The following is a 22,183-nucleotide window of genomic DNA, read 5'->3' as shown; positions in this document are numbered from 1 at the left end:
ATAATGGTCACTTTTATCTGATGGTGCACTGGTATTTTGGTAAAATAAAAATACACTGACCTTTATCAAACCTTGAATTACACTTTAGTGAATGGTCATAATGACTATTTAATTTCTTTAAAGACAATCTCTAAATATCTAACATTATCCTTTTCTCTGGGTGTGCTACAAAACAAAACCTAGTGTCTCAAACTCACAACCATAGTCTTGTTTTGTTTTTTTAAGTACTTGGATTTAACCAAAAATCATTGTCCAGTTCCATGTGAAGTAGAATCCCCATGGTTAAAGTGCTGAAATAAATTCAGATATCACTGTCCAATACTTTTTGTTTATTTATTTATTTAATATAGGTGGAGGTTTTTAATCTGCTTTTTGTCACTAATGAAAGCAATACTCAAAAAACCTACATAGTACATTGCCATGATTGTGCACGAAAAACAAGCAAAAGTTTGGAAAATTTTGTGGTGCTCGAACAGTACAAAATGGAGGACCTAATCCAAGTTTATGATCAATTTACACTAGTAAGTCATTAACACGTGAGTACACTTAATTAGGTGGGTTTAAAGCAATGGTCTTTGACTTTGCTAACTGATAAAAATGTGTTAAGAAGAAACTTAAATTTTCCATTGGTGCAGTATATACTTTGTAAGGAAAAATATTAGTAGCCATCCTCGTATTTCACGTTAGTTTTTCTATATGAAACTGTTTATTACCATTTTTGCTTCTCAGTGAGAATGCCCCCAAAGAATAGTTACACTAATTACATTTGTAAATGTCTGTATGTTTTTAGAATATTTTTTAGTTTTTATGTTACTTACATAACTTATAAAACCTTTGTACATGTAGGTTACTTAATTCTTCTGTAGTAATTATCTGAAAGAAATGTGTGGGTTTTTTTCATGTACTTTGTGGTTTAAAGATTCCAGAAGAGTTTGCCTGATAGCACTACTTGATGGAGCTTGCTTGACTAGATTATATGATATATAAGCCTCATGAAAAATATGTTCAGTGTCATCTAGCTGTGGCATTTTCATAAGCCAATTGCTAGTGAAATTTTAATTTACTTTAAAATTATTTTTCCACACAACTTTTCTTTTAGCAATCTAAAAAATTGGTTAACTTTTAACAGTATTCCAAACGTTGTTCACTAAATGATGAAAAATGGAGGTAATAGCGCCGCACTCTTAACTGATTCTAATGAAGAAAGTAAGAGCATCTCAACTGAGCACAGTGTCTCATGCCTGTAATCCCAGCACTTTGGGAGTCCAAGGCGGGCAGATCACCTGAGGTCAGGAGTTCAAGACCAGCCTAACCAACATGGAGAAACCCCATCTCTACTAAAAATACAAAATTGGCCATGCAAGGTGGTGGATGTTTATAATCCCAGCTACTCGGAGGCTGAGGCACGAGAATTGCTTGAATCCAAGAGGCAGGGGTTGCGGTGAGCCGAGATCGCGCCATTGCACTCCAGTCTGGGCAACAAGAGCAAAACTCTGTCTCAAAAAGAAAAAAAAGAAAAGAGCATCTCTCTTAGGAAACTGTTGAGATTTCATGTATCTTGTAAACTCACTTCATAAAAAGGCTGTCTTTTATAGTCATAAGCTAGCAAACACTATTAAGGATTTATATAACAAAATCTTAACTTTTATTTCTAGGCTCTTTCATTATCATCCTCATCTTGATATAGTTCCATGAATATTAAATGAGATTATTTCTGCTCTTCAGGAAATTTCTGCACCACTGGTTTTGTAGCTGTTTCATAAAACTGTTGACTAAAAGCTATGTCTATGCAACCTTCCAAGAATAGTATGTCAAGCAACTGGACACAGTGCTGCCTCTGCTTCAGGACTTAACATGCTGATCCAGCTGTACTTCAGAAAAATAATATTAATCATATGTTTTGTGTACGTATGACAAACTGTCAAAGTGACACAGAATACTGATTTGAAGATAGCCTTTTTTATGTTTCTCTATTTCTGGGCTGATGAATTAATATTCATTTGTATTTTAACCCTGCAGAATTTTCCTTAGTTAAAAACACTTTCCTAGCTGGTCATTTCTTCATAAGATAGCAAATTTAAATCTCTCCTCGATCAGCTTTTAAAAAATGTGTACTATTATCTGAGGAAGTTTTTTACTGCTTTATGTTTTTGTGTGTTTTGAGGCCATGATGATTACATTTGTGGTTCCAAAATAATTTTTTTAAATATTAATAGCCCATATACAAAGATAATGGATTGCACATAGACAAAGAAATAAACTTCAGATTTGTGATTTTTGTTTCTAAACTTGATACAGATTTACACTATTTATAAATACGTATTTATTGCCTGAAAATATTTGTGAATGGAATGTTGTTTTTTTCCAGACGTAACTGCCATTAAATACTAAGGAGTTCTGTAGTTTTAAACACTACTCCTATTACATTTTATATGTGTAGATAAAACTGCTTAGTATTATACAGAAATTTTTATTAAAATTGTTAAATGTTTAAAGGGTTTCCCAATGTTTGAGTTTAAAAAAGACTTTCTGAAAAAATCCACTTTTTGTTCATTTTCAAACCTAATGATTATATGTATTTTATATGTGTGTGTATGTGTACACACATGTATAATATATACAGAAACCTCGATATATAATTGTATAGATTTTAAAAGTTTTATTTTTTACATCTATGGTAGTTTTTGAGGTGCCTATTATAAAGTATTACGGAAGTTTGCTGTTTTTAAAGTAAATGTCTTTTAGTGTGATTTATTAAGTTGTAGTCACCATAGTGATAGCCCATAAATAATTGCTGGAAAATTGTATTTTATAACAGTAGAAAACATATAGTCAGTGAAGTAAATATTTTAAAGGAAACATTATATAGATTTGATAAATGTTGTTTATAATTAAGAGTTTCTTATGGAAAAGAGATTCAGAATGATAACCTCTTTTAGAGAACAAATAAGTGACTTATTTTTTTAAAGCTAGATGACTTTGAAATGCTATACTGTCCTGCTTGTACAACATGGTTTGGGGTGAAGGGGAGGAAAGTATTAAAAAATCTATATCGCTAGTAAATTGTAATAAGTTCTATTAAAACTTGTATTTCATATGAAAAATTTGCTAATTTAATATTAACTCATTTGATAATAATACTTGTCTTTTCTACCTCTCCTTTCTGAAGCATTTTTATTTAATCACATTCTTCTTTGTAACAGCTTTCCAGAGAACTTTAGTGAAGAATCATAGAATGCTTTAATAGAAGCTATTTAAATATCAAAAGGGAAGTTATAGTCTTATCAGGTGAAATGTCTTGATCATTGCATTATTGCAGTACTTTCTTCAGACAAGTTTGGAATATTTTGGCTTCCTAGAAATAGTTGTTAGAAAACTCATGAAGATATTTTATTAAGTTAGGTAGTTGAAATCTGTTAGCAGTAATCATCACATACCTAATTTCAGAAAAAAAAATGCAATTTGTAATTAAGGAAGAAAAATCATAAGTACTTCTAGATATTTTAAATGCTGATATTTTTGTAATTTTCTTGTAAATTTTCTTGTTCAGAAATCATTGAGATTAAAATTCAGGACTTTTTTTTACCCCTCTCAAACAAAAACTACAGATCAACCATCAGGAAACATCTAGAATACCAGAGCTATACCTGAACTTTTCTTAACCGGTTGTTTTGTATTACTAACGTAACATCTTATGTCTTAACTCTTTAAGATGATTTATGGCTAGGATTACTATATGTTGAATTTACAGAATTGACCTAGTCATGAAAATGACTTTACCTGTTTATCTTTTACACTTCTTTTGTTATTGTTGTTTGTTTTTGTTTTTGTTTTTTGAGATGGAATCTCAGTCTGTCACCCAGGCTGGAGTGCAGTGGAGTGATCTTGGCTCACTGCAACCTCTGCCTCCTGGGTTCAAGCTCCTGGGTTCAAGCTCTTCTGTCACAGCCTCCCGAGTAGCTGGGACTACAGGTGTGCATCACCACACCCAGCTAATTTTTTTTGTATTTTTAGTAGAAACAAGGTTTCACCATATTAGCCAGGCTGGTCTCGAACTCCTGTCCTCATGATCCACCTTCCTCAGTCTCCCCAAATGCTGAGATTACAGGCATGAGCCACTGCACCTAGCCCTTTTACATGTTTTCTAATGCATATTTGGATTATCCATTGAGAGTAATACTTTTCAGAAGCTTACACTCTTTAAATAGGCAGAAAACCAAAACTGAAAATCAAATATATCACTAGTTTGGAATTAATCTAGATAAATGAAGTTCTGTTATCTACTGTAATCAATTTATCACCTTTGTAAGTTGCATTTTGGAGATTTAAAAAAAAAAGATTCTTTTTGTTGTCCTTTTTACTGCTGGAGGTGTGAAGTTGCTCAAGCTGACCCTACCTACATGCCTTTCAATAAAAGAAATTTATAGCACACACATTGTTCAGAAAATAATCCAGTAGTTGCATAAAACAGATACTTTTCCCAAAAGAAAACAAGAACTATGTGGAAAACAGCCATATCCTTTTTCTCAGCAATTAAACATGAAGTTTTCTTAGATTGATTTGCATTTCTGCCATGTATATATAATGTGGCTTGCTTAATCTGGTTGTTACCAGAAATCTCGGCTTCTGCTTTTTTTTTTTTTTTTTTTTTTTTTTTCCTGAGACAGAGTTTTACTCTTGTTGCCTAGGCTGGAGTGCAGTGGCACAGTCTCGGCTTACTGCAACCACTGCCTCTTGGGTTCAAGCGATTCTCCTGCCTCAGCCTCCCGAGTAGCTGGGATTACAGGCCACCCCACTGGGCTAATTTTTTGTATTTTTTAGTAGAGAAGGGGTTTTGCCATGTTAGGCAGGCTGGTCTCAAACTCATGACCTCAGGTTGACCCGTGTCAACCTCCCAAAGTGCTAGGATTATAGGTGTGAGCCACTGCACCCAGCATGCTTCTGTATTTTAATATAAACCTTGGCTGCTTTTCCAAAGTAATAAATTGCAAACTAGGATGTTCAAGATACTAGTATATATCAACTTAAGATTGTGATTACATAATTTTAGTGTAAAGAGTCTATTCCTCCTAAATATTTGAGCCTTTTTGTTAGCCATTAAGTTACTATGACATATTTTTATTTAAGACATGTTCTAATTAGCTTCTCCTAATAGACAAATATGGAAAAGATGTGAACTTGTCCTCTACACTCCATATGCACAAGGCTTTTACCATCTAATATGGGACATACATGGAAATAAATAACAAAAAGAGTACTATTACAGTTTGTGTTCAAGAGTTGTCTGGACACTGTGGCTCACACCTGTAACCCCAGCATTTTGGGAGGCTGAGGCAGGCCGAAGTCACCTGTGGTCAGGAGTTTGAGACCAGCCTGGCCAACATAGCGAAATCCCTTCTCATAAAAGTACAAAAATTAGCCAGGCATGGTGGCGCATGCCTGTACTGCCAGCTTCTTGGGAGGCTGAGGCAGGAAAATCACTTGAACCTGGGAGGCAGAGCTTGCAGTGAGCTGAGACCGTACCACTGCACTCCAGCCTGGGTGACAGAGGGAGACTCCATCTCAAAAAAAAGAAAAGTATTAAGTCATCTACATTCACACTTCATAACATGAATGTTTGGGGACCTCACGTTCTTTGTCATAACTAAGACATTAGCTGCGTAAACAGGTAACTGGAGAAGGGATCTGATGGTGCAAAACTCCTCAGTCATGTTAAGACTTTCTGACTGTTCTTGTAGTTAGTAACAGAGCTATTGACTGGTTTTATATAAAAGAATCAATAAGTTTGCAAAATCTTTCTTCTGTCACACTCCCATTTGTTTCAATGCTGCATTTGTTCTTTACACATATCCCAGGGGAATATATCTAAGACTAAAAGTCCAGGGAAGAAATGCTTAGTACTTGGAATTTTCATTTTGTGGAATGGAAGTAAAGGCACAAATTTTGGAAACATTTTAAGGAATAAAGTTCACAGATCCCATTATCTTCCTGGTGGAGAAGTGTCCTTCTAACAAGACACAATCCAGAAAGGACAGAGCAGAAGATTATAGTGACATCTAAGTGATGTTAATTGATTTAGAAAGGAACAGATGGATATGTGAATCTCAAATTTAGAAATGCAAGTTAGTGAATCTACAAGTGAGGAGAGTACAAGTCCACCTTGTGGCATCACATAAAGGGGAGGGAAAACGAGCTAAAAGATCAGGAAGAGTAAATATTTTGAAAACCATGTCTATATTATTCTGAAAAGATAGAAAAAGAGATCTCTTCGGGTTAGTGCAAGGTTGCTGTGATGTTAACCTGAGCAGCTTCAGTGAAATAAGGTACTTATACCTAGAACTCAAAGATATTTCCCTGTGGATTAATTTTTTAGATTTTACGTTTATATTCATAATCCATTTTGAGTTAATTTTTTCTATAAATCGTAAGGCATACAGCAATATTGTTTTGTTTTTACATTTTGTGTCTAAGCTCCAGGACCATTTGTTTCTAACTCAAAGGTATCAGTAGAGTGAATTTGTGTTGGTTGATTTTTGTGTTTTCTAGACTGTTTCATTTTTATATCTGTTCATCTTTGTGCCAGTGCTTCACTATCTTCATTACTGTGGTTATATAATAGGTCTTAATATTGGACAAAGCAATTCTTTATTCTTTTTAAATATTGTTTTACCTATTGTAGAGTCTTTGCCTTTCTATATAAATTTTAGAATAAGCTTGTCTAGGGCTACAGAAAACCTTATTATGATTTTGATATGTTGTGCTAACTATATAAACAACAGTGTTCTAATATCTAGAATACATATCTACATAAATATGCTTGCAATGTAAGTAACAGGTTAATAAAATTAAGAAAATTGGCATCTTTAATATGTTGAGTATCCCAGTCCATATGGTGTTTCTCTCTATTTAAGTCCTTGTTGGTTTTTTTCATTAGCTTTTATAATGATCAGTATGCAGATCCTTTACAGATCTTATACCTACAGATTATTTTATTTTTTAAGTTGATAATATTTCCCATATATATGGGGGTACATGTGATATGTTGTTACATATATAGAATGTGTAATTATTAAATCGGAATATTTTGAGTGTCCATTACTTTCAGGACTTACCTTATCTATGAGTTGGGGAAAATTCAAGTCCTTTTCTATTTCTCCCTTGAAATATACATTGTTATTAACTACAGTCATTCATCTATACTGCTGTTGAATGATAAAACATAATACATTTTATCTAACTGTATGTTTGTACCCATTAACCTACTTGTCTTTATCAGCTCCCTCCCAGCCATCTATCCTTCTCAGCCTCTGGTAACTATCATTCTACTCTCTACCTTTACAAAATCTTTTTTTTAGCCCCCACATATGAATGAGAGCACGCAATGTTTACCTTTCCACAGTTAGGTTGTTTCACTTAACATAATATACTTGGGCCAGGCTCAGTGGCTCATACCTGTAATCCCAGCAGTTTGGGAGCCAAGACAGGTGGATTACTTGAGCCCAGGAATTTGAGATCATCCTGGGTAACCTGGTGAAATTCCACCTCTGCAAAAAATACACAAATTAGCTGGGTGTAATGGCGTGTGTCTGTATTGCCACCTACCCGGGAGGCGGAAGTTGAAGGATCTCTTGAGCCTGGAAGGTCAAGGATGCAGTGATCCTTGATTGTGCCACTGCCGCTAGCCTGGGAGACAGGGCAAGATTCTGTCTCGAAAAAAGTAAACTAATGAACTCCACTTCCATTCATTTTCTCCAAATGACATTATTTAATTTTTGTGATTTTTTTTTAATCTCATTATGGTTTTGATTTGAATATCCTCATGCTTAGACATGTTGAGCAGTTTTAAATGCCTTTTGGCAGTCTGTATGTCTTTGAGAATTATCCATTCATGTAATTTGCCTACCTTCTAATGGGATTGTTTTTATAAATGAGTTGTATGAGCTTGTATTTTCTGGATATTATTTGTCTCTTGTCAGACGAATGGTTTGCAAATATTTTTTCCCCTTCTGTGGGTTGTCTGTTCACTCCAGTGATTGTTTCCTTAGCTGTGCAGAAGCTTTTTAGTTTAATATAGTACCATTTGTTTATTTTTGTTTTTGTTGGCTGTGCTTTTGAGCTCTTAGCCATAAAATCTTAGCCTAGGTCAGTGTTCTGTAGTGTTTTCCCTGTGTTTCTTCTAGTAGTAGTATACTTTTAGGTCTTTAAGTCTGATCCATCTGGAGGTTATTTTACCTTATTTTATTATTTTATTTTATTTTATTTATTTTTTATATTTTTTATTTTATTTTATTTTGTATTTTTTGAGATGGAGTCTTGCTCCAGTCACCCAGGCTGGAGTACAGTGGCACGATCGTGGCTCACTGCAATCTCCACCTCCTGGGTTCAAGCAGTTCTCCTTCCTCTGCTTCCCATGCTGCTGGAACTACTGGCATCTACCACCACACCTGGCTAATTTTTGTATTTTTAGTAGAGACGGGGTTTCATCATGTTGGCCAAGCTGGTCTCGAACTGCTGTTCAAGTGATCTTCTCACCTCAGCCTTCCAGAGTGCTAGGATTGCACTCTGTGCCCAGCCTGGAAGTGATTTTTTTAATTCATTAAGTAAAGGGATCGAGTTTCATTCTATTGCATTTGGACCTACAATTTCTCCCACCACTGTTTACTAAAGATAGTGTCCTTTTTCAAATGTATTTTCATCTTTGTTTAAAAAAAAGTCACTTGGCCATAAATATCTGGATTTATTCTTGGGTTATCCAATTTGCTTCCAGTGATCTATGTGTCTTTTTATATCAATAGTATGCTCTTTTGGCTATTGTAGCCTGTAATATATTTTTATGTCAGGTAGTATGATGTCTCTTTTTGCTGTGGATTGCTTTGGCTATTCAGCCAGTTTTGTTACTAGTTCCACATGAATTTTAGGATTGTTTTATCTATGTCTGTGAAAAATGACATTGATATTTCAGTGGGGATTGGATTGAATCTATAGATTGCTTTGAGCAGAATGTTCAATTTATTGACATTAATTCCTTGGATCCGTGAGCATGGGATGCAATTCGATGCAATTTATCAGGGATAATAGTGTGTAGTTTTCTTTTTTGTTGTGTGTTTTCTGGTTTGGGGCGGTATGTTCAATTTAAGGACATTAATTCCTCTGAGCCAAGAGCAGGGGATACATTTTTCAAGGTTAATGGTATATAGATTTTTGTTGTGTGTTTTCTGGTTTTGGTATCAGATAAAGCTGGTCTTATAGAATGCGTTAAGTGTAATTCCTTCCTACTCAGTGTTTTGAAATAGGAAGATTGCTGTTAATTCTTTGTTACATAATTGGTAGAATTCAGCAGTGAATCCATTTAGTCTTGGGCTTTTCTTTGTTGAGATACTTGTGAATATTGAATGAATATCACTACTTTTTATTCTTCAGCGTTTTTTTATTTATTCTTGATTGTTTTTTGTTTTTGTTTTTGTTTTTGTTTTGACATGGAATCTCACTCTGTCACCCAGGCTGGAGTACAGTGTCACGATCTCAGCTCACTGCAACCTCCGCCTCGCAGGTTCAAGCAGTTCCCTTCCTCTGTCTCCCTAGTAGCTGGGTTACAGATGCCCAGCTAATTTTTGTGTGTTTAGTAGAAACAGGGTTTCACCGTCTTGGCCAGGCTGATCTTGAACTCCTGACCTCATGATCCACCTGCCTCAGCCTCCCAAAGTACTGGGATTTACAAGCATGAGTCACCATGCCCCGCTATTCTTGATTCATCCTAGCTAGTTTATATGTTTCCAGAAATCCATCCATTACTTCTAAGTTTTTGCAATTAGTTTATACTTGTTCATAATAATGTCTCATGATCTTTTCTATTTCTCTAGTATCAGATGTAATGTTTCCTTTTTTACTTCTAATTTTATTTGGTCTTCTTGCTTCTTTCCTTGGTTAGCTTAGCTAGTGGTTTATCAGTTTTGTCTTTTCAAGAACGAACTTTGTGTTGATTGATCCTTTGTATTCTTTTTTAGTCTCTTTTTCTGTTAGTTTTGCTGTCACCTTTATTTCTTTTCTTCTGCTATTTTTGGGTTGGTTGATTCTTGTTTTTCTAATAAGTGCATCATTCGATTGCATAGTTGAGATCTTTGTACTATTTTGATGTAAGCACTTATTGTTACACATTTCTCTTTTTTACTTGCCTTTGTTATATATATATATTTTGGTGTGTTGTTTCCATTTTCATTCATTTAAATTTTTTTCATTTTAATCTTTATTTCTTCATTGACCAGTGGTTGTTGTTAAAGAGAATGTTATTTAATTGCCATGTATGTATAGTTTCCACAGTTCCTATTGCTATTAATTTCTAGTTTTTTGTGGGGGTTTTCTTGTTGCTATTGTGTGGTTTTATGGTTTTTTGTTTTCAGTTTTTTAAATTGAGTTAGCGTCTCACTTATGAGGCTGGTCTTGAACTCCTGGGCTCAAGCGATTATCTCACTTCAGCTTCCCAAAGTGCCAGCTTTACAGATGTGACCCACCATGCCCAGCCTTTTTAATTTTTTAATGTTAATTTTTTTTTTTTTTTTTGAGACAGTGTCTTGCTCTGGACTGCAGTGGGTTATTCATGGCTCACTGCAGCCTTGACCACTGGTCTCAAGCAATCCTCCCACCTCAGCTCCCTGAGCAGCTGTGACTATAGGCACAAGTCACCATGCCCAGCTGATTTAAATTTTTAATAGAGACAAGGTCTAGCTATGTTGCTCATACTGGTCTCGAACTCCGGAGCTTACACAGTCCTCCTGCCTTGGACTCCCAAAGTATTGAGATTACAGGCATGAGCCACTGAGCTCAATCTTAATTTCTTGTTCTATTCCACTGTGGTCCTAGAATATACTTGATGTGATTTTGGCTCTCTAAAATTTTTTCAGAAGTGTTTTGTGGCTCAGCATGGTCTGTCCTAGAGGATCTTTCATGTGCTGATGAGAAAAGAGTATGCTCTCTGCAATTTTGGGGTAAACCATTCTGTAGGTTTCTGTTAGGTACTTTTAGTCCAATGTCTGTTCTTAAGTCCAGTGTTTTATTGTTGATTTTCTGTCTGGATGACTGGTCTAATGCAAGTGGGGATTGAAGTTGCCCACTGTTCTTGCATTGAAATATCTCTCCTTAGATCAATTAATATTTGCTTTATGAACCTGGGTGTTCCAGTACTGGTTGCATGTATATGGAACTGTTATTTCTTCTTGCTGGATTGATTCCTTTATCATTATATAATGTATGTAATGACCTTCTTTGTCTTTTTTTTTTTTTACCTGCCTGTGGCTTAAAGTATGGCTACTCCTGCTTACTTCTGGCTTGCATATGCTATTTTCCCTCCGTTACTTTCAGTCTGTGTGCTGACTTTTCAGGTATAGTGAGTTTCCTGTAGAGAGCATATAAGTGGATGATATTTTTTAATCCATAGAGTCTATATATTTTATAAAGTGTGGAATTTAGTCCACTTATATTTAAGGTTATTGATATGTTGGTATGTGAGGTTCTGTACCTGTCATACTGTTGTTTTTTGATTTTGTGTATTCCTATTTCTTTCCTTTTCTCTTATTGCTATTGTGATTTGGCAGTTATCTGTAGTGGTACCATTTGAGTCCTTTCCTATTTGTATGTTTTCTTATAATTGAGTTTTATACCTTGATGTGTTTTTATGATGACAAATATTGTTCTTTCATTTTCAGATTTAGAACTCCCTTGAGCAATTCTGGTAGGATTCATCTAGTGGTGATGAATTCCCTCAGTGTTTGCTTATCTGGGGAAGACTTTATTTCTCCTGCATTTATGAAGGAAAATTGAACTGGATATAGCATTCTGGGCTGACAGGTGTTTTCTTTCATTACTTTGGTTATATCGTCTTATTCTAACCTTTCCTGCAAGGTTTCTGCTGAGCAGTCTGTTCGTCTACTGGGATTTCTTTTATTGATAACGAGACACTTTTCTCTTGATGTTCTTAGAATTTTCTCTTTGTAATTGACTTTAGACAGTTTCACTATAATGTGCCATGGAGAAGATTTTTTTTGTGTCGCATCTGAGGGGATCGTGGGATCTCCTGTATCTGGATATGTAAATCTCTTGCTAGACTTGGGAAGTTTCATTTATTATTTTGCTAAACAGGTTGTGAACCTTTTGTTATCTTTTCATATGCCGAGATACCAGTAATTTATTTATTTGGTCACTTTGTGGTGTCCTATATATTGTAAAGATTTTGTAATTCTTTTTCATTCTTTTAAAAATGTTTGCCTGGTTTGCTGATTCCAAAAGACTTGTTTTCAAGTTCTGAGGTTTTTTTTTCTTCTGTTTGATCTAGCCAATTCTTGCTGCTTCCAAACCTAGTGTGTACTTCATTCAAAGAATTCTTCAGTTCCAGAATTGATTTAGTTCTTTTTAATGACGTGTCTTTTTGGTATACTTCTCATTCATGAACTGACTTGTTTTTGATTTTGATTTTTTAAACATGTGTTTTAAAATGTTCTTCTTTCTGAGCTTCTTTACAATTACTACCGTCTTGTTCTGCCGTTTTGTGTATATATTTTTTATTTGGATCTATTCCTGGAGAATTATTATGTCCTTTGGAAATGTCATATTAACTTGCTTTCTCATGTGTCTTTTCATTGATATCTGCATAACTGGTGTATCAATCACTTCCAATTTTCTTAATTCCCTTTCATAGAGAAGGACATATTTCTGAGGATGAATCTGTGGCATTGGTTGGGTAAGGCACTTTGGCTTTGATTCTGGGTTCATGCAGTAGGATAGTCTCTGTATGATTTCTTTGATTGTAAAGAGCATCAGTGGTATCTGAGACTTTTTCACTGGCTCTGCGGGTGCAGTTAGTATTGGAGGCTGTAGTGCAGTTTTACCTGGGACTGGGATGCCAGACTGGCCCATCTTTAGGCCCTAGTGGTGGCAGCAGTGCACTCAACAATTGTCTCTTTGGGCTTCAGTGTGACCTGCAGTGGCACCAGTGTTAGTGTGTCCAAGGAGGCCAGTGCTTGGGCCCCCAGGTGACTTATTCTGATGCTGATAGTGGCAGCTGTGAGCTTGGCATGTAGGTAGGTTCTTGGGCCTCTGGACACCTGATGTGGCATGGATGATGGCGCTGGCAGTGACAGTGGAAGGATGCCTCAAGCAGTGTGTATCAGGCTGCAGTGAGCTCATGAGGCCAGTCTCCAGGCCTACATCTGATACACACATATAGGTATCAGCTGTGGTTATAGCAACCAGGTGGATAAGACCCAGCCTGAGTCCCCCACAAGGAGTGTTCAGGGGTCAACATTGGTGGACTGAGCTGGGTCACACCCAAGATCCAGACTTTCCTCGGGCATAGGTAGGGGATTAAACCTGCTCAGGCTGGGTTTTCCTGAGGACTGATAGTGTGTACATGTGCTGGGCCTGGAAAGCAGGGGTTAGAGGGATTCTCAGGCCACTGGCAGAATGCTTAGGTGAATGGTGGCAGCATTCATGCCATTGCCCTGCCACTAGGCAGGCAATACTGGTTTCAGTGATAGCAGCTTTGGCTCACATGTTGGGAGCACATGTGCTACTCATGCCTCAGCTCTGGTAGTGCTCACAACTACGTCTTGGGGACAGCAGCCGTCTTTTCTGTTGCACCTCAGCCCCAGCACTGCTGGGCTCCAGAACAGTAGGGAGTCTGTTGGGGGCATGGCTCTAGAATGGCACTTTCTTTGCATCTCGGACATACCTTTGTCCCAGGTAGCCCATGGTTGGTTATACCTAAATTCCAGAGTCAGCAGCACATGCATTCCTTGCACCTCAGCCCTGATTCCTGTGGGCTTCAAAGATGGTCCCTGGTCTGTTTGGGATGATGTTCCAAAGAGTGTGCCTTGCTGTAACTGCTTAGGTCTCAAGGAATGTGAGGGATGCTGCACAGGCTATATGCTTAAAGGCAGTACCATCCTACTATCTCTCTGCAGCTCCCTATGTTAGTTTCAGGGCCCACTGAGTGGGGTTAGCTCTCCAGTGGCTAGAATTACAGAGATACCTGGTATGAACATGGATCCCTGGAGATCACTGACCCCTGACCTTGTTGGAAAGTCTCTCAGCACCCAGCCCATCCTGGCCAAGCAGGCTGCCTCACCTAATTCTTGTTTGCTTTAGGTATCACCTCTTTTCCAGTGCTCTCTCTTGGATGATCTAGTTCATGCATGATTACTCACTTTGGTTCTCTTATTGGAGAAAGCAAATGCCCCTAGTCGGCCATCATGAAGGCTTCTTCATTTCTTTTTGAGAGATGTAAGTGGTATTGGGTTTTTAATTTCCATCTCCACATGTTCATCTTTAGTCTACAGAATGATGATTGACTTTTTTCTGTTTATTTAATATCCTCTGATCATGCAGAACTCATTCATTAGTTCAAAAAAGATTTTTGTAAATTGTTTTACATTTTCCATGTGTACAGTCTGCAAGAAAGAAGTGTTATTTCCTCCCTTTCTATATGTTGTTCATGTGTTTATTTTTCTTACTTTATCACAGCAGTTGGAATTTCCAGTATTGTGTTAAATAAGAATGATGAAAATGGACACTCTTGCTTTCTATTGTATCCAATCTTTTTTTTAAAAAAATTTCTTAGCAGTATGATATTAGCTGTAGTTTTATAAGGAAATGCTCTTTATTAAGAATATCCTATTCTTAGTTTCCTAGCAGGTTTTACCATTGAGTGTTGAAACTTTCAAGTGCTCTCATTTTTCTGCATCTGTTGATAACAACCATATGACTTTTCTTTTTATTAGATTACATTAACTGATTTTCAATGTTGAAGTAGCTTTACGTAGATGAACCTTATCCCAACTGTTTGTGTTGCATGCGTATTTAATTTTGTATTTGCTGAGCTTAGCTTGTGAAAATGTCGTTGATTATTATACCTATGTACCTGAGTACTCTTGATGTTTTCTGTGTTTATATTGTCTTTTTATAGTTTTGTGTCAGTGTAAGAAAGGCCTTATTTTGAATTGAGAAGTGTTCTGCCCAGTTTCTGAAGACATTGTGTAAACTTGATGTTAATTCCTAAAATACTTGGCCGAATTATCTAGTGATGCCATACTATTCTGGGTCTTCTTTTTTGGACTTTTAAAGTAAAAATTCATTGTCTTTAGTTGTCACAGACTATTCAGATTTTCTCTTATATCTTGATTGACTTGCCAGATTGTGAGTTTTGAAGAATTGTTTCTTTTAAGTTACAGAATTCCCCATGGTATTTTTATTATAATTTCAGTAGTATAGTATCTGCAGTAATGTATTTTATTCCTTATTGATATTTTGTGATTTCACTCACAAGTTTTTTTAAAGCAAAATTTTCTTTTATTTATTCTACTGTTTTTCCCCACATTTCATCGATTTTTCTTCCCCCTCTCACCCACAGCCCCTTTTGAGTTTGTTTTGCTCTTCATTCTTTAGTTACTTTTTATAGTTACTTCAGTTAATTTAAACTGTTTTCAACCAGGCACAATACCTCATGCCTGTAAACCCAGTACTTTGTGAGTCCAAGGCAGCAGGATTGCTTGAGCCCAGGAGTTCAGGACTGGCCTGGACAATATAATGAGACCTCAACTCTATAAAAAACTAAAACATTAGACAGGCATGATGTTGTATGCCTATAGTTGCAGCTTCTCAGGAAATTGAGGCAGTAGGCTTCCTTGAGCCTGCAGTGAGCTGTGATTGTGCCACTGCCCTCCAGCCTAGGCAACAGAGTGGGACCTTGTCTCAAATAATAATAATTCTCTCTTTCTATACACGCATTTAGTGAAATAACTCCCTTTTCACAGCTAATAGCCTGCATATTTTGATATGTTGTATTTTAATTTTTATTCAGTTTTATGTATTTTAAAAATTTCCTTTAGGATTTTCTCTTAGATCAATGTATTTAGAACTGTTTAATTCCCAAGTGGTGGGGAGTGGGGAGGCTTTATTTTTGTATAATACCGATTTCCACTTTGGTTTGACTTTGCTCAGAAAATACACTGTGTATTATTTCAGTTCTTTTAAATTTGTTGATGTTTGACTTATGTCTTAATGTTGATGTTTGAGTTACTTACTGCCTGAGCTGCACACTCCACAGGGCCACTGGGAGCTGAGGACAAGTGGGGGCGCCGCCCTCCCACTTCCAAGTTGATGGGGTGGGAGTTTCCCAGTGCAGCTGCAGCCACCCAAGTCATGGCTGTGGACCTGGGCCTCCCTGTGCTCTTGAGCCTTCCCACAGCTGCAGAGCCAGACATCTCTGCACTCTCAGGGGCCCAGGAAGGATCCCTCCCCCACAGGCTTGGAGGTGTCTGCTCCTGCTGCCTGGCCTCTCCCAGCTCCCAAGTGCCTATTCTGATCTCAGAGCAAGGTTGGGGCCAAGACTTGGCATTGTGTCAGCCCGGCCAGCTGTGCTCATGCTCAAGGCAGCACTGACATGCCAGCCTTCCACCTTCTTGGCCCACTCTGAACTTTGGGCACTGATGAGCATAAGAGGGAAGCTGATGGGGGGCTGAGGGCAGCTTGCACTGACCTGCAGGTGTTCCTTGATATATACATCCTGGGTGCCATGAAAGGCAGCAGGAGGCAGACATGTTCCTGAGTGCAAGGGGGTGGGCCCCTGGTGAGGCCCCACCTTCAGGCCAGGGAGGACCTGAAGGGTGGGAACTGGCCTGCCAGTCCTGCAAACCCCAATGTGAACTTGTGGTGCCTTTTCCAGGCCTCCCCATGGCCACCCATGGACCAGTCGGCATTCACTTCCTCCCTTCTGCGGCCCATAAAAGCCCTGGGTTCAGGCAGAGCTGAGCAGACATCAGGTGACCAGCTGCAGAAAGGAGCTACCCACTCCAGGGCCTCATCTCTGCTGAGAGCTGCAGAGATGACCAGAAGACCTGCATCCAGAGAGGAGCTTCCTGATCCAGGGCTATTCTGTCACTCAATAAAGCTTCTCTTTGTCTTGTTCTCCTTCCATTTGTCCACGTTCCTCATTCTTCCCTGCCAAAGGAGAAGAACTTGGGAGCTGCTGGATGGTGGGGCTGAAAGCTGTAAAACAAACAGGGCTAACACGCCCATTGCTCACTACCTTGTGAGTGAAGAGGAGAGAAGAGCTGTAGCCCTTCAGAGAGTCCAGACCTGGGAGCTCCTTGAGCCAGGGTTGTGAATCTCTCTTCAGGACCTTGTGGTTTCGGGAGTCTCCAAGCTTCCTGTTGTCACTGCAGCTGTGGAAGTTGCTTGTGGTGTGCCTGCTTCAACTGCACCCTCACAGAGAGCTGGTGCCTATGCCGGCACCTACAGCTGCCCATCCTTGTGCAGCAGCCAGCATGCTTGACTATGTGCAGTAGCCAGTCGCCACACTGGCTTGGTCAAACACCCCTTGCCGCTCCACATCTGGCTGGCCCTTGGCAGGCCTGGGATCCATGCCAGTAATGTGAGCCAAGTGTAGCCTTCCAGGCTGAGTGGGTGGAGCAAGCCCAGCAGGCCTGAGCAAAACTTGGGCAAAAGCACCACCACCCACAGAGGTTTCTGGCCAGAAAAGCAACACCATAAGGTTCCTGAAACAACAGGTCCCACAACTCTCTTCACTTTTTTCAGCTTATTTTCTCTTTCATGTTCAGCTAGAATAAACAGGAAGTTCTGTCTTTGTCACTGAAATTTTTCCTCTGTATTATACATTCTACTATTGAGCCAATACACTTTTATTCTAATTCCTGTATTTTTTATTTCTGTAGTTAAATTAGGTGTTTTTATTACTCATTTTTTTGCTGAAATTTATTACTCATTTCAAGAGATTTGTAATTGCTTGTTAAACTATTTACATACCTTATTTTAAATTATTGTCAAATCAGCCAGACAGTAATATAGGAAGTTTCAGATGTTGTTTCCCTCACATAAACAGATTTAAAACTATCAAAATTCCTTTTTGAGAAGCTCAGAGTCCTTTAAGCATTTGCAGTACCCTGGACAATCACAAACTGATACCAGCTGCACTGAAATGAATAGGAAGAACAGTATTCTTTTACCTAGTTTAGCTTGTTTTCCAAGTTTCAGGACAGCTCACAGCAAAAATAGATGGGTGAAGGAAAAGAGAGTTTGTGGCAGATTCAGTGTCCTTGGTCTTTCGGTACACTTTTTGAGGTTCTAGCTTCTGTCTTATCTCCCAGAGAGCACTGAAAGAATTGACACAGTATGGATGCCCAGGGCTGCTAAGGAGAGAGGCATATTTTTACAGCTAGCATAAGTATGTAAAATTAGAAAGTGATGCATGCCTGAGGGTTCTTACCCAGAAAGGGAAAGGAGCAGTGTATACCCCCAAAGCATTCCTTTGTGCCAACTAAAAGTTCAATTTCTGTCTCACTTCACACATCAGATAGGTATAATGCAATCACAATTGTTTTTAAGAGGAAGATATTACAGGTTTTTGAAAACAGCTAACAAAACAAGAATGCCCAGGGCAAATAGGGAGAAAGATCCAGAACTTCTCATTGGGAGGACTTAAAAATATATTTCCTAATGAAAGCCAGTCAAAAAAAACGAGACAGAGAACTGTTTCTTCAAATGCATGCACACAAACACAAAGCTGTACAGAACATGAAGAGTCAAAAAATAAGACACAATAAAAAGAATAAAACATACCTCTAGCAACCAACAATAAAGAAATGGAGATCTATGTGTTGCCTGACAATTAAAAATAGTCATTGTAAAAAAGTTGAGTGAGATACAAGAGAACACACACAGATAATTAAATCAGGAAAGTGTTACACAAAAAGAATGACACAAAGATGGTTATGAGGAAAAAAAAACATTCTGGAACTGAAAAATACGATAACTGAAATTTTAAGAATTAAGTAGAGTGGGCAACAGAATTAATCACACAGAAGAAAGAAATGTGAACTCTTAAAACATAAAATTTGAAATTAGCCACCCAAGAGCAAAAGGAGTAAAGAATGAAGAGACTAAGGAAAGTGTCTGACTCATGAACACCACTTACGTTGCCAGTCAACATAGCACATTATGAGAATTTTACGTGGAAGGAGAAAGAAAAAAGATAGTTTATTTGAAGGAATCATGGCTCAAAACTCCTCATTCTGGGGAAAGAAATGGACCAAGATTCATGATACTCAAAAGATACCAAATCAGGTGAACCACAAGTCTACACCAAGATACATTATCATTAAATGGTCAAAAGTCCAAACCAAATAGAAATTTGAAAGCAGCAAGAAAAATGCAATTTGTCATATGCAGGAAATCTCCATACAACTATCAATAGAATTGTCAGCTGAAACCTTGCAGGCCAGAAGATAGTGGAATTATTTATTTAAAGTGTTGGGAGAAAAATGCCAACCAATAATGTGAAACGCAGCAAAACTGTCCTGAAATAAAAGAGAAATGAAGAGGTTTCAGACAAAAGTTGGTGGTATTCATCATCACTGAAATTACCTTACAAGGAATGCTAAAGGGAATTAGGTTGAAACCAATGAAGCTAAACAGCAACACTGAAACAACTCCTTGATAAAGGTAAATATATAGGCATATATAATAATGTTCTAACATAAATCATAATAATGAACGAACACCATATAAAAATGTAAAATGTAATAAAAGCAGAGGAAAGGTAAAAGTGTTGATGCAATTATAGTTCAGTTATCAGCTTAAGATATAAGATGTTTTATGTAAGCTTCTAGAGTAACCACAAAGAAAATACCAATAGGAAATGCAGAAAGAAAAAAGGGAAAAGAATTAACTTTATGTCACTAAACATACACACCAAAAATCAACAAGTACAGAGACAGCCAGAGAAGAGGGTCAAAAGAACGATAAAATAGAAAACAACAAAAGAGCAATACAAGTACCTACCTATGTGTTTAAAACAATTAACTGAGCAAAGAACAATTAATAAATTCATAAAGTTTAGAGCAGTCTTCCTAGCCAGTGTAGGCTCTGATGCTCAAATGCAGCTACGTGGTGGAAGAAGATTTATGGACAGAAAAAGAAAGTGACTTACAGAAAACAGAAGTGAGGTACAGAAACAGCTGGATTGGTCACAGCTCAGCATTTGCCTTATTTGAACACAATTTGAACAGTTGGCCACCTTTTATTGGCCAAAACTTGACGCCAATATGGCTCCCTGCGCTTAAGTTACCACTTCAACTGTATTATTCTCTTCTGCTCTCTCATTCACCTCATAACTTTTCTGAAGCCGTGCTCTCTCGGTTACTGCCTTGCGTTTCCTCGAACGTTGCTGTAATCTGGTCTTGTGACATTTCAAGCATATCTTGCTGTTGTTCAGGGTAAGCATGCCTATGGAGCCTCAGACTAACTTCTGTTTTCTTGCCTTTAGTACTCAAACTGAGTTGTTGACAGCAATCCCACAAAGGGTCCCAACACACCTTATTAATGGGAGGCAAAATGGCAAGGGAAGTGCTAGTATTTTTCATCTAGTTTTTTGTGGCACTGTAAATTGTTCATTTGTTTGAAGTAGATGACCTTGATTGTATTTCTTAAATTTCTCCAGTTTGACATCAGAAATTGAAGAAACAACTTGGTTTCATTTGTTCCATAGTTGGATCATCTTTAACTGGCACCAATGTCAAAATCATACTTTCCTTATCATCTACTTCCCCCTCAGAGAAATTCTTGCTGCTATCCAAATTTGAGTCTGACATTTTCAGCAACACCCTGGGGAAGGCAAGGACAGCAATGTTAAGGATATATGGTATTTTACTTCTCTGAATCTGATTTCTCCTGTTTTTTGTTTTTTGGTTGTTTTTTTTTTTAAAGACAGAGTCATGCTCTGTTACCCAGGCTGGAGTGGTTATCTTGGCTCACTGCAACCGCCGCCTCCCAGGTTCAAGCAATTTTCCTGCCTCAGCCTCCCAAGTAGCTGGGATTATAGGCGCCTGCCACCATGCCTGGCTAATTTTTGTATTTTTAGGAGAGACGGGGTTCCACCATATTGGCCAGGCTGGTCTTGAACTCCTGACCTCATGATTCTCCTGCCTCGGACTCCCAAAGTGCTGGGATTACAGCCGTGAGCCACTGTGCACAGCCCGGTTTCTCCTTTTATAAGCAAATATCTTCTACTTCCTGTTACCCAGATGAGCTCTGTTTTCCTTTCGTTATCTTTTTCCTCTCCTTCATTTTCTGACAATGTGATAACGTTATCTGACAGTGGGATAACTTGTCCATTTGGTGATATGTTTTTTTTAAAAAATTAGGCCAGGCACAATGGCTCATGCCTGTAATCCCAACACTTTGGGAAGTTCAGGCAGGTGGATCACTTGAGTCCAGGAGTTCAAGATCTGCCTGGGAAACAGTGAGACCCCCATCTCTACCAAAAAATACAAAAATTAGGCAGGCGTTGTGGTGCATTTCTTTAATTTCACCTACTCAGGAGGAGGTGGTGGGAGGATTGTTCATGATGTTTTTTAAGTTCAGCCTAAAGAAACCTTCATGTATGTAGAAGTATCTATATATCTATATTTAGCATCTACATACATATATTTACACATCCTTATTTATGTGTATATCCTTGTCTGTACATATAGATATATAGACGCATCTACATATATAAATATTTCTTTATACATATGTATATATGTGTGGGGGGGTGTGTGTATGTGTAGAACTTCTAAACATAAAGCAAGTGATAAGAGATCAGAAGAAAAAATGCACAGAATGATAATAATAGCAGTAGACTTTAATACCCCTCAAAAATGGGTTCAACATTTACACAGAAAACTTTAAAAAAAAAAAGACTTGACAAGTTAAAATTTAGGAAGATTGAGAACATAGTGAGATATATTTTCTGATCACTATAGAAACAAAAAGTCAATAACAGGAAAAGTGGGGAAAAAAGCTCAAAACAAATGAAAATGAAAATACAACATACTGAGTAATTCAGAAGAAAACAAAGTTCAAACTTAGCAGTGAAGCAATAATAAATTGAAATAACAAAGTTTACCCAGAAATCAGAGAATAGAAGAATAGAAAGAATCAATAAAACTGTTAACTTTTTGAAAAATAAAACTAATTCTTAGCCACACTAAGAAAAAAAAAGGCTCAAGTAAGAAATAAGAGAGGAGACATCACAATGAATGGCTGAGATATGAAAGGGATCAAAGGGGACTGCAGTGAGCAATTATTTGCCAATAAACTAAATAACATAGAAGAAATTGATAAATTTATATAAACA

General features: G+C 37.5%; 1 protein-coding gene and 1 pseudogene across 103 annotated transcripts in view; one reads left to right on the top strand and one right to left on the bottom strand.

The window, feature by feature from the left end:
- UTY (ubiquitously transcribed tetratricopeptide repeat containing, Y-linked) overlaps positions 1-17,643 on the top strand; it is a 246,776-nt gene extending 229,133 nt beyond the window's left edge. For 55 of the 103 annotated variants that reach the window (NR_047613.1, NR_047627.1, NR_047602.1 and 52 more), the window contains 2 exons: positions 351-521; positions 1,656-3,159. Coding sequence is in view for 50 of the 103 variants with exons in the window: in NM_001258265.1 (NP_001245194.1) it covers positions 351-521; positions 1,656-1,682 (198 nt within the window). In the remaining 53 variants the exon portion in view is untranslated. Of the gene's footprint in view, positions 1-350 lie in introns of all 103 variants that reach the window. The other 48 variants (NR_047625.1, NR_047626.1, NR_047599.1 and 45 more) reach the window with 8 other exon arrangements.
- On the bottom strand, positions 20,066-20,683 carry DPPA2P1 (developmental pluripotency associated 2 pseudogene 1; annotated as a pseudogene).

Source organism: Homo sapiens, chromosome Y, assembly GCF_000001405.40.
Source record: "Homo sapiens chromosome Y, GRCh38.p14 Primary Assembly".
Classification (NCBI taxonomy): Eukaryota; Metazoa; Chordata; class Mammalia; order Primates; family Hominidae; genus Homo; species Homo sapiens.
The sequence above is the reverse complement of the archived record's forward strand: the minus strand, read 5'-3'. Positions and strand labels throughout refer to the sequence as shown.